At 34.9% G+C, this 16978-nt stretch overlaps 1 protein-coding gene across 1 annotated transcript in view; it reads left to right on the top strand.

Annotated features, from left to right (window-relative positions):
• The window catches only part of RASSF9 (Ras association domain family member 9), a 35707-nt gene that overhangs the window by 793 nt on the left and 17936 nt on the right, over nt 1-16978 (top strand). The gene's annotated exons all lie outside the window — the stretch shown is intronic.

Raw genomic sequence — 16978 nt, 5'->3', positions numbered from 1 at the left:
GTGGAAACACTCTGGAGAGAAACTTTGTTTGAATTGATTCTTTAAAAAATCTTTGAGAATTTTAGGTAGTTTTAAGCACTAAAGAAGGATTCAAGCAGCTATCCTCTCTAATCCTTATTATTACTGTTTTACTTTGATTTGATTTGATATTTCAAGCTTGAAATGCCCATAGTATAAATAAGTTACTCAAAACACACATACACACACGTATTTTTCTAGGGACAGTATGTCTGTCTTAGTCTTATTAAATATTTTATTTACACATCAAATGTTACGTTTTCATGCCAAAAACTTGAGAATAAATTTAGACATGGGCTATATTTTTTTAAAAATATATTTATTTTGGCATAGGGGATTGTCCACCACTTTTCTCTCAATCATGCCTGTTTGTACTTGTCATAATTTGCTCAGTGCAGATTCAAAAGGATACAATTACATGGTAGGAAATGATATAATTATTTTAAAGTGTCTACATGACAATATAGAGTAATACAACTTTAAAGTAAATCTCCATACTTTATTTTGCGCACACATGTCTACTTTGAAAATCCTGTTTTTAACTCATTCCAAATGTATTCATGATTTAGGTGACAAAATTTCCTTTAGAAAGTAAATGGCCTTAATAAATACTGTAAAAGTTTCTAAGTAAGCTTTATTTTCTAATAATTTGACAATATTTCACAAATATGCTATTTATGGTAATTAAAGATAATGAAACTATATTAAAATAAAGTGGTTTGAGTATTTAAAATTTGTGTTTTGATGGTGACAATGCATTTTAAAATATTCTAGAATATTCCAGAAAAGCCTCCCCCAAGCCAAAAATAAAAATACTCTGTTTTTTAAATGATATTTTTGTAGTGGTATTTTTGTAGTATTATTTTGGCATTTGTTTAAATGTCATCAAATGTATAAAAATACTCTGGAAAACTTTATGGTTTCATAAATCAAGTTGTGTTTCTGGCATACTATCCCTGTAGTCAGGGCTTTCTGTTTGTTTGTTTGAGGTTTTTTTGTTTTGCTTTAGCAATTTGAGATTTCTGTCATTGGTATGCCAAATACAGGGCAATAAAACTTTGCATGCGCCCCTGAGTTTCCCTCAGGGAAGTGCATTCTTCAATTTCATTACATCAGTTCTGCCACTCTACTATCTACTCTACCTATAAAACTAGCTTTCTTTCGAGGAGGTGAGTATGCAAACATTTTTTAAAAGTTTTCTATGCAAAATTATGAAAAGGTGAAAATAAAAATAAAAAAGAGAGTTTAATAGTGTTGAATTTCAAGTTTCTCAGAAAATGGAATGGCTCCTGAAGATGATGCTTTGTTATAAACGCAAGTGTTTTGGAAAAGGTGGCAATAGTAAGGATATGGGTAAGCTTCTCTAATGAAAGTATTTCCCTTTACAGATTTGTATTTTTCAATCCTTAAGAAAGATTTAAACCACAGCAGTGGTCTAGGACACAAAAATATGGGTATTTCAAGTTAAGCAGTGAAAAGATCACAGAGTGTATTGAAATAGAATTAATATTTGTTTTGGTATTTACTAATGCTATATACAGGGTCTTTTGTTTTGTTTTTTCACCTTAGCAGAGGTGAGACCACAGGTGAAAATTATTTGCAAGATTAAGTTTACTCATTTTGTTTACAGTTTCCATAATGATTTGAATAACCACATTCTAAAGCACAGAAACAAAATATCTTTTCTTAAATGATGAGTGATTTATCCTTTCTTGGAAAATGTGATTTATGATAAGACAGTTATCTGATAAGAGTCACTATATTCTTCAAATACAGACATATAAAATTTATTGTACAATGTAAAGTAAGAATTTGGATAACAAATATATTTATATGCCTTATGATATATAACAGACAACAATAACAAAAAACTACTTGAGCATAATTGCATCTTTATCAGCAGGAAAATATATGAACTGTTAGAAGGAACATTGGGGATTAAAGATCATAAAATTTTGAGAAAGTCTGCTTACAGAATTTTTCTGCATGCTATTCTCTGCCTCTCTTTTCATTTTTGGTCACTCTTGGAGTGATATTTAATTACCCAAAATTGAACCTCATGAGATAGTACTATAAATGTGCTTATAATAAATGGATAGTTGAGAGTTTTAGAGACAGACAGGATGCAATTAAAACTTCAAAGTATGAGGCAATACAAAATTTTAGAAAATACAAACCATAAAGCTTGGAGAAGGTGGGGTCATATCTGTCTAGACACCATTGTGTTTTCATGTCCAGGACAGTGCCTGCCATGTGGTAGACCTACAATACAATTGTTTATTCAGTTTTGTAAACTGAATTATAATTTTTACTCAAACCATAAATATACTAATTATTTTATTCTCTATTCATCATGTGACATCAGCTGGTATTATATAAAAGTGAATACTTTTTAAAGGGTTAGTTGATATTTAATATAATTCAAAACCTAAAGAGATGGACACATAATTATATGGATTTTGAAACCAACCTAATCTTATCCTACTACATAATTTTTTTTCTAAATTTAAAGATTATTTAGTTCAACAATTTGGGAAATAGTATTCAGGAAATTTGAGAATAATAGATGCCTAAATATAAAGCCTAAAAAGTTTGTATGCCCAAATATAATCAGGCTTTTCATTTCAAACTTTCATAGAAAGACATGGAACCAACCTAAATTCTTTCTGTTTACAATGAGAGTTAATCTTTAGAATTTTTCTAATTGTAGTAATGTTTAATTGGAAGACTTCGGTTTTAAGAGAATCTGTTGCTTTTAGGAGATGAATTATTTATTTTGATTCCAGAAAAACAGAATATTCTATGACTGAATTCCAAAGATTCTTGATGCATATCTTCTTCATCAGACTTTTTGTTCAACATGAAGAATACAAATGTTTGAGAGTCTAGATATTTTTTCAGTAAGCTGTTCAAGTTCTGAAAGTGTTTTCTAAAAGTCGCTAGGGAACCAGTGTTCCTCACATAAAAGCTAAAGTAGTAAATAATGAAACACCAGTCCATTTGAGATTCATGTGGACATTCAACAATTGGATTTAGATTATGAACCTATTTACCATTCACATAGATTCCATTTGTGAATGTGATTGTCTTTATATTAGATTAGGTTTTCAAGGTAAGGATTGTTTTAATGTTAATGTGTCTAAATAGCAATCAGAAATTTTGTAAAAGTTCAGATAACTAGAATGTTATTATAAACCATTTTTTGGAACACTTGGTTGTAAGGTATGATTTCTTAGTGTTTTAATTAATAAGATTTGGAGACAGAGAATTGGTTGGTACTTTCACCAAACCTTGCTAGAAGCATAACATTACCATAATGAAATAGTGTCCAATGTATTTTTCAAAATAGGAAATTAGAATAGTTTGCATAGGTGATTTGTAAGATAAAAAATAATGAATATAAAAATATTGAATCCAGTTTAAAGGGCACTTAAAATTATTTTGAAGTGCTATTTAGTTTTCTCTCATTTTCCCTTAAGTCATCTCAAGGGTTCCCTTCGGCTTTCACAAAACGTACTGATATATGAATATCCACCACAGGCTGTAGCAGACATGCTTGTAATATCAACCTAAAATTAAAAGACTCCAAAAAATTTGCTTGTCCTGAATTTATTAGCATAAAATATTATAGCTTTATTGTTTTATAATTGATACATAAAATTTGCATTCCAGGTTGCTTTTGCATCAATTAGAACATATTTAGACAACAGTTCTTAAGGCCAAGTACATTATATTGTCACTAGAAGTAAATCATTCAATGATTGCTTCATCGGAAGAAAGAATTAAATTTTGTGGTTAGGGTAAAAGTTGCTGACAAGAAGGATGTCTTCTCTCTGTTATTAGAAGTATGGTAATTTGTGAATTCTGCAGAGTGGGAAATTATTATGCACTATTTTGTTTATCCTTCCAATCAAGATTTAAAATGTATCCAAAATTGTATGGAGAAGTGCCAGATATTTGAGTATGTAAATCTTCAAAATTCTCAGGAGTTCCTGAAAGTGATTTCCCCTGATTATACCTGGTAACTTAAGTAGTTATTAGTTGGCAGTGGATAGCTCATTAGGAACAATGACTGGAATGCTTTATCCCTGACAAAAATATCCTGAGAGCTGTGCCAAGGGTAAAATTGAGCTCTAGGTTAAACCTGAATTGTTTTTCAAGAAAATCTAAGCCAGCTTTGTACTACATAAAATGTATTATCTACAGTGTCAGTGCCTGACACATGTCAAGGCGAGAAGTACTTAAATTAATTTTTTGGAGAAAAGTTTTAAAAAGTTTGAAGCTGTCTAACAATTTAATTTAGATAATGTGTTCGTTGGCTGTATAACTCAGGAAGTTTTGATGTTATGTTATTGGCATGTAGTTCCAGGAGATCTGATGATAACTCTAAATAATTCACAAATATGTGGCTCTATTCTTTTGATAGTAGTTCTGAAAATGAAATAAGGTTGAAGTAAGGGTATGTGTTTACCTCTTGCAGGTGTATATGAATACCAGTCCTTGACAAGGAATCTCTTTGCCTCTTACATATCAGCTTTCTAAAATGAAACCTCATGATATCTGCACCATGCATATGTCAGAGGAAAAAGTTCAGCTTACTTCTGCATTCTAATGACTTTAATGTATGGTTGCTTAATTAATTTCTTGACATCCAAACACAACATTGGCAAAACACAACATTGATTTCTTAAGTGCTAATTCTTTACTATTTTTAATATATTGTGATTCCATTCTTGTAGAGTCTGTTGTAGTACTACACCTTCTAGAGAAAGTTTGTGTATTTGTTGGATAAAATTGAAAGTGATTACTAATATAAATGATCATACAAGTACAAAGTATTTATGCAAGTGGAGTAGAGCCTTGGGAAGATGTTTAGCACTGGCAGTAATAAACAAGATATTTCAAGTATAAGAATGAGCAATGCAAATTAAATCTGCTGACAAACAAGGAAAATTATACTCAGAGGTTTATATCTTCAGACTAGAATGCACCCTGCTTTTATAAATGAAGTGATTTAAACATTCTGTTAAAAAAATCATTGAGTATAGGTCCAATCAGAGCAGGGACCTTGCTTGTATTTTTCCTTCCTAGATAGCCAGAGAGTAAGTGCTCAAAAAATATTTGTTGATTGAATAAAGAAATTCAACATATACTCTTAAAATACAGCTGATCAGTAGTGCATTTATGTTAAGTGGATACATGGGTAACTTAAAGAATGAATCCATAAATGCAAGGTTGACCTCTCATCTTCCTTGCTCCTAGGCCCAGCTCCTGGCTTTCAAGTGGTAAAGGGCCATGTCTAATAAATAGATGACATACAACTTTACCAGACTTTTGGTAGAAAAACAAATCAAGAATCATGGTCATTTGTTCTTCTCTATGGATGCTCTTACCTCCCCTCATCCCCCTAGAACACAGCCAGGTATGCATATGAGTGAAGTTGGGTGGGTGAGACTGAATGGATTCCACAGACCTCACTGTTGAATGTGGAGCATATCTCCTACTCATTTGAGATAGTTTAGCAACACAGTTATAGGAATGTTCTGAGTGGCTACCTTTTAATTTTGTTTCTTTAGGATGGGTAAACTGTGTTTAGTACTGTACCAGACATGCAAAGACAAAACCCCATTCCTAAGAGATTAAACTCCTAATTGAGAAAACATTATTATAGTAAAATAGTTCATGCAAGAACTTTTTTAAAATCACTCTTCCATGGAAAACTATCTTTGACAGGGTAGACAAAATCATAATTTTTGCAATACAATTAAGAAAATTAGAGTACAATCTCTTGGAGTTGATGAAGGCTATTCCTCTGTAGAGTAGGTGCTCAATAAATGTTGATTAACTCTATGTAGAAATATTTAAGAGAGGAGTAAATGGAGGTAAAGGAAAATAAAATGAGCATCATCATAATTAGCTAGCATTTATTAAACTCCCACAGGCAACAGGCTTGAACAAGAGAAGGGAATGCAATAAGATTTAGAAAAATATGTAGGAGGGGGCTGAATCATACAGGGCTAAGACTGACTCACATATGATAATCAAAAGAAAAGAATCCAAGAAACGGGCAGTAATATGGTCAGTTTGGCAATCCATAATCTTAGTTGAGTTGGTGGAAAACAATATTTTACAATTACAATGGAAGTATTTAAAATAATTTTGTGTATTTATATAACATTGTCGGTTGAAAGTCAATGGCAGTTGACTTCTGTTTATTCTAATAATCACATTAAATTGGTCCGTGTATCAGATCTTGAAATTGAGTAACTCTACCATTTTATGAGTCTTTTAAATTTTATTTCCATTGATGCAGATAGTGGTCCAACTTCAGCAAATTTTCAGGCTCATTAATTATGGCGTATGACTGCTAGAAGCTTTGTGTGAGAGGCCTATTGATATGCCCTCTGGTGCATGTTTATTGTTCTCAACCAATGGTTGGGACATTTTGTAGCCACCTCATATACCTTTAGTTACTCTTAATGCTCCTTATTTACTCTGATCCTTTTCAGTCCCACTGGAATCCCTGAAATTATGGTTAAGTGTGGTAATTTAGCATTCAGTAGAAGAGCGTTTGTTTTGGGAAAACACAGTCTTCCACAGTAAAGCCTAAAAGGATATCTATTTCAGCTCTGTACATAAGATCTTGTGTTTTTCTGGAAGATAAGAGAGATTCTATTGATAAACCATGGACCTTTTTATGGGGTAGACATGTAATAACTACCTTCTCATATGGAGAAGAATTATACATGATTAGTAAAAACACTTAAAAGGCCATAGTAGAATTTTGAGGTTTCATCTTTGTTAATAGTGCAGGAAACTACGCACATTACAGAGGTAGACCACAAAGTAGTCAACTTTGTTCCTTGACTGCCTGTTCTTCCAGCAGTGAAAGTTGAGGAATTTCTTCCTAGAACTATAATTAATAGCCATAAGACATAGACTAAGTTACTGTTTTAACAATGTTAAGCAATTTTTGTGGTTCTACTTTTAATTAGGAGAACTTGCTGTAATCACAATTTAGAAGATTAAGTAAAATGGTTGACTGTGGAATGTATTGTTTTACAGAATATGCTCATAATATTTTATTTTTCATTTTTGTGGGTACATAGTAAGTGTATATATATATTTATGTGATACATGAGATATTTTGATACAAGCATACAATGCATAATAATCACATCAGGGTAAATGAGGTATCTACCACCTCAAATATTTATCCTTGTGTTACAATCTGATTACACTCTTTTAGTTATTTTAATATGTACAATTAAATTATTACTGCCTACAACCACACTGTTGTGCTATTAGATACTAGAAAACCTATTTTACCATCTCAGAAAAAAATATACATGATGTTCTAAGTAGATCACAAATCTCACTCTGTCAGACTTGTGATCTACTTAAATACACACACACATACACACATATATATTTATATCGAGTTATATTGTGAAGTATTAATGATAAATCAGGTATGGATTAGGTTTTTAAGGAGCTTGCTGATTAACAAGACACACAAGCCATATGTAAACAATTGAAATACAAAACAAGCATTTTAAAGTGTCATAATATAATCCATATGTTGAATAATAAATATTTATTTACCTTGTAGTATGTGCCATATATTTTTCTAGATGCTAAGGATAAAGTAATGAGAAAGATAATCAAGGTTTTTCCTCTGATCGAATGTATAATGCAGTGGTAGATGGACAGACAATGCAAAAACAATATGTGAATTAGACATTTGAGATAGTAATTACTGTTATCAGGAAAAACTAGATTCATGTAGTGGAGAGTGGTCTGGGAAGAGTTGGCTTGTTAGTTAAGACTGTAATGAACCAAAGAAATCAGGCATGTCAGGCTTGTGGTAGAAGACTGTTTTAGCCAGGTTGAACAGAAGGTATAAAGTAACTGAGACAGAATATGGTTTGGAGCTGTGGAAAACATGAAGGAAAACCAGTTAGTAAGGGGCTTACGAGTAGGGAATGTAGTTGAGGACCTAGATGGAGTATGATTATTTAGATATTTGTGGATTATAAGGGATGTTGATTGTACTTTAAATGCAAGGGAAATCCATTGAAGGGTGTTAACCAGGGGAATTATAGAATCTTATTTACATTTTTCAAAAGGTCAACTTGCCTAGGATGTAGAGAGGTAATTGTACTAGGACGAGGAGTGAAAGCAGGGACTCTAGTTGCGGTGACATTACAGTAGTATAGGCAAAATATGATGACTAGTGTAATGATAGTAGAGAAGGAATGTAGGTGACAAAATTGATACAGTTTAGAAAGAGAACTTAAATTTGTACTGAGTGAGTGAAGATGAAAAATGAGGGATGATTCTGAGGGTTTTAACAGGGATGATTCTGAAGATATTTGTCAAACAGAAGATGTTGGGAAGAATGTGTGGAAAATTAGTGATTCTTCTCTAGCCTTGCTAAGTTTCAGATGCCAGTTAAATACATAAAGTAGAGGTATTCAGTAAGATATTGGGCCTGAAGCTCAAGACTGAGATAGAGTGGTATGTTAGGTGACAAGGAGAAGCAACCTCTGTGGGTTTTACAAAACAGCGTCTATACTAGAATCTAAATGAGAGGGAAGATTAGAATATAAAAAGTTGGGAAAAAGAATATTGTAGGTAAAGGAGAAAGAGGAAGAAATGTAAAATATTTGGCATAATAGTATCAGCGAGTTTGTGAATGGCCAAACAGATTATTTTATTTTTTAAATTTAATTTAATTTTTCTTTATATTGTGGTGGGAACCATTGAAGGGCTATGAGCAAGAAAATGATATAATCATTATGTCACATAAATATTAAACTTGAAGAAATATATTTAAAAATATTGGAAGGGATGGGCCAGGCGCGGTGGCTCATGCCTGTAATCCCAGCACTTTGGGAGGCCGAGGCAGGCAGATCACGAGGTCAGGAGATCAAGACCTGGCTAACACAGTGAAACCCCGACTCTACTAAAAATACAAAAAATTAGCCAGGCACGGTGGCAGGTGCCTGTAATCCCAGCTACTCGGGAGGCTAAGGCAGGATAATGGCGTGAACCCGGGAGGCGGAGCTTGCAGTGAACCGAAATCGTGCCACTGCACTCTAGCCTGGGCGACAGAGCGAGATTCTGCCTCAAAAAAAAAAAAAAAAAATATTGGAAGGAATGGAGAAAGAATACGAGTGGGCCAGGTACGAGGGAGTTAAAGGACTTTCTTAAATAGAAAGAGAAGAATGATTCAAGAGTCACCATGGAGGCGGAATTTATAGGAATTCAAAATTCAGTGCATGGGGCCAATATCAGGATGGAAAAAAGAACCATTCGTGACTAGATTTTGGTTCTGAGTAACTGGAGATACATGTGTGTCATCATAAAGAACAGAAAATATGGCAGAGATAGGCTTGGTGAGGGAAGAACATCAGGGTGAAGAGTGAAGAAAATTAAGGTGTGATTTGAATGTTTCTAAATATTCCACCAGTAAACACCTGGTGTTTGGACACATTGCACCTGACATGGGACTGTGAAAGCAGCCTTTCATCCAACCCACTCTCATCCCTCCTGACAACCATATGGGGCTGATTAATACAGAATAGTACAGTGCACCTGGAGTGGGGCTTTCAAGGCAAAACACAAACTGGTTTCCCAGTCAGGGCTGTCAGGCTGACTAATCTTATATTAATCACAGTCAGGCCACATAAGGCAGTCACCCTTTTAATGATCCTTTAATCATTACCTTTGGTTGAAATTGCTTTCAAACATAGCCATTATTTCCACTAGACTGTAAGGGTGTGTGTGTGTGTGTGTGTGTGTGTGTGTGTAAAGATCACATTATTTTTACCTTTTGATCTCCTAGAGAATGGTACAGAGAAAACTTGTGTAGATATTGAAGTTCAATAAACATTTTATTATTTAAATAAATACAGTGCAGATTTCTGGGGCAGCCAAATTATCTAGGACAAGAGTTGTCAAACTTTTTGTGTAAAAAACATAATAAATATTTTATATTTTCCCAGTCATAATGTCTCTATCTCAACTACTCTGTCCTTGTAGTATGAAAACAGCTATAGATAATACATAATGAAATTGATGTGGCTGTGTTTCAATAAAACTTTTATTTACAAAAACAGGTGGTGGGGCAGTTATAACCACGAGGTCCTTAGTTTTCAGACACTTGATCTAGATTATTGACTGAGAAATTCCCTTTATATATCTCCCTAAAACTCCCCCTTCTCATCTCTACCCCACTCCCAAGTTTAATACCTACTGTATTAGGCATTTAGACTTCAAAAGTGAGACTTAGCCCAGGACTTGACTGGCAAACTAGCAAAAAAGGATGCATTATCCAAAGTACAAAGTGCTGCTACTAAGTGTACATTAGATTTTGTAGAAGTATCAACATGGTGAAACCCTGTCTCTACTAAAAATACAAAAATTAATCAGGCATAGTGGCACGCACCTGTAATCCTAGCTACCAGGGAGGGTGAGGCAGGAGACTCACTTGAACCTGGGAGGTAGAGGTTGCAGTGAGCCGAGATCGCACCACTGTACTCCAGCCTGGTCACGGAGTGAGACTTCCTCTCATAAATAAATAAATAAATAAATGAGCACACATTTCCATTTCGGTTTGTGGGAGTGGGGTTATTCAGAGAAGGTCAGAGAACTTTCCTGAAAGCAACACTTAACACCTAAAGCAGAGTAAGAGTTAGATGGAGAAGGGATCAAAGAGTGTTTCAGGACAAGGCAACAGGTTATGGAAAAGCTCGAAGTCAAAATAAAAGCGTGGCAGATGCAGTCCATTCCAGTCTAGCAATCAATAATGTAATATGTGTAACAGCAGGTTGTTCTCATAGTAGATCTGTCAGAGATCAGCAAGAAGTAAGGAATGGCTAACTCAATGTGTATATTAATTAATGCTTGGCTATGAGTTAGAGGAGTCAGATTATGGAAGCAACCCTAGGAGCAGACAAGAGATAGTGGGATAAAGAGAGACAGAGACAGGTTTAAAATGCAGGACTTAGAAATAGTTTAAAGATTTCAATAAAAAAATTTAAAAAATAGATTTGCAGTTTAAAAATGACAGTCTGGTAAGATTACGGGGCACAAATGTGAAGGGGAAAGATTTTATAACAACCTACGATATCTTACTGCAGTAATATATAGTAAAACAGAGTTATCTGAATTGTGGTAGGGGTGATGAATATGAGGGCAGATATTTGGGATATTTAAGAGAAAGGATAAAACAAACAGTGATTGGTTGTTAAAGTAAGAGGAGAGAGGCAAAGGAAAGTGTTTAGGAAAACTCAGTTTTCAAGCTGGGTAGACAGGTGGGGAACACTATTTTTGCATTCACTATAATTGCATTCAGTAGGATGGGAACTCAGGCAATGGAATAGTTTGATATTTTAGAGAAGAGTATGATGAATTAGTTTTCATGGGTCAAATTTGAGGTGTCTGTAAGTTATGAAAATGAAAATATCAAGATGCAAAAAAAAAGAAGTTGGGAATATAGGTCTAGAGCTCAAGGTCGTAATAGTTAGATTTGAGAACCATCATCATACAATTGGTTTACAGACTGCAACTATTATTGCAGTCACCCACAAGAATGTGTATAGTGAGACAAGAAATGAGTCACAGTCGAAAACCTAGGGGATGCCAATTGTATCACTTACCACTTACTGCACAATAAAACACTCCCCAAATTAGTGGCTGGAAGAACAATTTATTATTTTCCATAATTCTGTGGGTCAGCAAGACTGGTTCTTCTGCTGGCTTCACCTGGGCTCTCTCATGAGCAGCTGATTGGCTGAGGGCTCAGTTCAGGTAGAGCAACTTGATTTCGATGGTTTGCCTCTTTTCTCTCCATGTAATCTTTGAACTCAGGCTTTTTCATCAAACAGCAGTCTCAGGACTGCATTCCAAAAAGAATTAAGCAGAAGATACAAGGCTTCTTGAAGCCTGAACTCCAGAACATGCAAACATGGTTTTTGCCACATTCCATTGGTCATAGCAAGTTCCAAGGTCTATTCAAGGGGTGAAGAAATAGAGAGCTTCTCTTAACGGGAAGAACTGTCAAGTGTTTGTGGCCATGCTAATCTTAACTTGCATGACATCCACATCTATTGACTATGTGGAAGAAGCAAGGTGCATGTGGGATCTGGGAAGAAGCAGCTGGAAAAGCAAAGGAAGATCCATGTGAGAATGGCATCGTAACAGTCAAGGAGAGGAAAGCTGCAAGAATGGGAGGAGGAGGTCACAATGCATTATGTTACAAAGAGGATATGTCAGATCAGTTCTGCAAGTGGCTATTGGGTGTGGCAGTTAAGAGATTTCTGATAACCCTAAGAAGAAAAGTGGCTACTGAGGATGAGTGGAGGCAGTAGACATTTTTTTTTTTTTTTTTTTGAGACGGAGTTTTGCTCTGTCGCCCAGGCTGGAGTGCAGTGGTGTGATCTCAGCTCACTGCAAGCTCCGCCTCCCAGGTTCACCCCATTCTCCTGCCTCAGCCTCCCGAGTAGCTGGGACTACAGGCGCCCAATAACAAGACCGGCTAAATTTTTGTATTTTTAGTGGAGACGGGGTTTCACCGTGTTAGCCAGGATGGTCTCGATCTCCTGACCTCGTGATCCGCCCGCCTCGGGCTCGCAAAGTGCTGGGATTACAGGCGTGAGCCACCGTGCCTGGCCGGCAGTAGACATTTTGTGGTGGGCTGAGGAGTTTCTGGAAAGTGATGTACTAGAGAGAATAACGATGGATTGCTATTTGGTGTGTGAAGGAAAGATAGTGGAGGGGAATATGTGGTCAAGCGAAGGTTCTTTTAATGTGACAAGATAGTAGAAAGAACCAGAGAAAAAGGCAGAAGATAAAAAGAGTTTACGAAGGGGTGAATTATAAAGCAAAGTCCTAGAAGAGGTGGCGACAGTAAAATTCAAAGCATATTAAAGAGTTTAAAACCTAGGGAAGAAAAATAAAGGCACAATACTTTTGATATAGATGATTAGTATTTTTCTCTTATCAATAATGTTCCCAAGAATAATATCTCTCCTTTTCCTTAACAAAATAGAGTGGCAGGCCCTGATATACTCTCGTTTCTACAAGTTAATAATTTTCTTTTTCTCTTCAAGAAATTTATTTGTGATTAATGTAAATAGTTGATTATTCAGATGAAGCTTCCAACTGGAAGTTATTTTATTGCAGTTCATTACAGGGTATATTCAGAAAATGGAAGTCAGGGATAACGGGGCTCACCTCATGTTTTCAGCTATCCAACTGGATAACTGAAATTCCTGCATATGACTTATGTCCTTCAAGTTTACCAGCTTATCTCGGAATACATTTAGAGGGGAAGAGCAGGTGGTTGCAGGTAAATATAAGCTCAAAATCATTATCATTAGGAAATATCTTCCACTAAGAAGGCAAAGCCAATGTGGATTCGGCTGTCAAAAGAAAATCTCTTACTAATAGCTGAAATAACGATAGTTATCAGTAAACTAAACATTAAGGCTAGGTGACTTTCCTTTTAATAAGCACTTTTTTTTTGTTGCGAAATATTTCTTTACAAAATACCAATCAGTAAGGGCACTTTAGCAACCTCCCAGGTGCAGGTACACCCGAATTTCCAACAAGATTAGATATTTTCTCACCATTTCATCTGGTAAATAACACATGTTAAATATTTACATTTGGACTATAATCAATTTCCGGAATCTGAACTATGAGCTTAGTTTACTTAACCCCAAGTAGTTTCCAATACACATTCTTTACACATTCTCTTCCCTTTACCCTGTTCATGGGAATTATGTTCTATAGCTACCCGGCCACTATGGAATGTCTAGGGTTTTTCTTATCCCGCATGACTGGTTTATAATATTACTTCTTCGAAAATTAAAGTAGCATTAGTAGAGCACAGAACTAATAAATACAAATAAACACACACACACACACTCGTATATACACAAACATATATATCAAATTTTAATTTTCAAGATAATTTTTTCTTTTGTTTTTATTAAGTGATGACTGTCCTAGGTTTTCATAGAGTCATTAATTTTCTGAAAGACTCCAATTTTCAAACTATTTTTAAAAAATGTTAATGGTTTGTGTTTGGAGGAAACTATTTTCATAGCACTATATTTCATGCTTTATCTATCAAAACAGTGATTCAAATTTCCTTAGCAACCTAAGAAAAGAGCTGTATTATTTATGAGTTCTGTGTTTATCTCTCCCTAAGATTGCAGCTCTATGATCCAAAAACTAATGTTACTTCAGAAGACATTTGCCACATACTGTGTAAAATTAATCAGTTAGTTTTGGGCCAGAGCTTCCTATTTCATGTGTGGCATATTTGCTTTACCTAAAATGCCTTCATTTTTTCTGAGGTGATTATTTTTTAAGTGTAGAAAATAGCCAAACAAACTTAGAATTTATTGGTCAATGTAGCTTTTTTTTTCTTTTATTTTTTATTTATTTATTTGTTTTTTGTTGCCAGGCTGGAGTGCAGTGGCGCCATCTTGGCTCACTGCAACGTCTACCTCCCGGGTTCAAGCAATTGTCCTGTCTCAGCCTCCCAAGTAGCTGGGACTATAGGCCCGTGCCACTACGCCTGACTAATTTTTGTATTTTTAGTAGAGACAGGGTTTCACCATGTTGGCCAGGATGGTCTGGATCTCTTGACCTCGTGATCTGCCCACCTCAGCCTCCCAAAGTGCTGGGATTATAGGCATGAGCCACCGCGCCCGGCCTCAATGTAGCTTTTAAAGGCTGAACAAGTTGGGGAACATATCATGCTTTGAAACTTACTAGAAATAAATTGAACAATTCTCTAAAACTTAAAGAAGACACTCAAAGGTGTCCTAGATTGATGTTCAATACGTATTCCTGAAAAAAATTTTTTAATGTTTTATGTAAGAGATCCCATCAGCATTTTAATAGAATATATGCAGTTATACATTATTTACATGAGGGAAATATTATTTAATTTCTTGTTAGCAAATACAGGTGACTTCTGAGGAAAAAATGACATTTTTCATTTTATATGGTAAAAAAAGTTGAATTTGTGCATTATAGATGTTTCATGTAAACCTTAAATATTGTGAAATGTTGTGCCAAGGTCAAATACATTTAGAAAATTGTACATACTGAAATCATTTTCCTTTTCTTGGGGCTTTATGATGTAACAACATCATATTAAATGCCCTCAGAATTCCTAAAGTGAAGAAATTTCACTGTGTTCATCCAGGGGTTGGCAAACTTTCAGTAAAGGACTAACAGTAAATATTTTAAGGTTTGTGAACCATAAGATCACTCTCTGTCAGATGCTCAACTCCATCATTGCAGCATGAAAACAGCCATGTACAATATGTAAACAAATGAGCATGGCTGGTTTTCAATAAAACTTTATGGACACTGAAATTTGAGTCATATGTTTTTCATGTCTAAGCTGGTTATTTTCCTTTTAATTTTTAAAAACATTTAAAAATGTAAAACACATTCCTAGCCCATGAACCATACAAAAACTGGTGGTGGCCTGCATGTGATCAAAGGGCTATAGTTTGCCAACACTGTGGTAGCCAAATAATTTCCAAATTTATTTGAACATCAAAACATTGACTTATCACCTATTTATTGAATAATGAACAAGTCTAAAGAAAACTAGAAAAATAACTGAACCAGTTATCCTTTTCAATTTTCCATTTCCAAAACTAGCAGAGACATTTTAGCTTTGTATATTTAAATATCTAGACAAGGTACTAATTATTTACAAATATGAACTTGGCGTTCTGCTGGTCTTCATATAACCACATTATTGTTGTCTTCTTTCTTTTGGTTTTTCTAAAGCAGACAGGGAACTAGTCATTATAAATGCTAACTATCTATCAGTCATTGGCTTAGGAACTTCACATATATTGTGTAATTTAATATTTATCACAAACTTGTGATTTGGGTGTGTTATGTAGATGAGAAAATTGAAGCTTAGATGTGCATAATGATCTGTCTGTACTTATTCATTCACCCATCCATAAAATGGGCATAATTTTAGTACATCCTCATTGGTTTGGATTAAATAGGTTTGAACATGTAAAGCACTTAGAGCATAGCACATAGTAAGTGTTCATTAAATATTGGTATTTTTTATTAGAAAATAATTAAATACTAATTGTCTCCAGGTGCAGGAATGAATAGGTCATTTTAAATTTTCGTATTTAAAATCCATATTTTGCTAATTTTTACGATAAACATTGTAGTATAATCAAGAATAATTAAAGCGGCCAGGCACTGTGGCTCGTGCCTGTAATCCCAGCACCTTGGGAGGCTGAGGCATGAGGATCACTTAAGTATGGGACCAGCTCCAGCAACATAGTGAGACCCTGTCTCTAAAAAAAGAAAAAAAAAAATGCTTAAAGCAGTAAAAATTGCCTAGTATGTGAAAAAGCCAGTAATCAAACATGCATGCATTTGATTCCTTCCAAGTTACTCATTATATTTTTTTGTAGGTTTACAATACCATGAAGAAACTTTGTTTAATCCAGTTTTTAAAAATATTTTTAGAAATCTGAATTGAACGGGCAATTCAATATTTATTCCGGTGTTCACCACAGAAATTACAAAATAATTTTACAGTTCCTTTTTTTTTTTTTTTTTTTTTTTTGACGGAGTCTCGCTCTCTCGCCCAGGCTGGAGTATAGTGGCGCGATATCAGCTCACTGCAAGCTCCACCTCCCGGGTTCACGCCATTCTCCTGCCTCTGCCTCCAGAGTAGCTGGGACTACAGGCGCCCGCCACCACGCCCGGCTAATTTATGTGTTTTTAGTAGAGACGAGGTTTCACCATGTTGGCCAGGATGGTCTCGATTTCTTGACCTCATGATCCGCCCGCCTCGGCATCCCGAAGTGCTGGGATTACAGACGTGAGCCACCACGCCCGGCAAGTTTTATAGTTCCCTTTTAAACTGCTTTAAAAAATTAGG

Source organism: Homo sapiens, chromosome 12 (assembly GCF_000001405.40).
Source record: "Homo sapiens chromosome 12, GRCh38.p14 Primary Assembly".
In the NCBI taxonomy this organism is placed as follows: Eukaryota; Metazoa; Chordata; class Mammalia; order Primates; family Hominidae; genus Homo; species Homo sapiens.
Note: the sequence above shows the minus strand (reverse complement) of the source record. Positions and strands in the feature narration are given on the sequence as shown.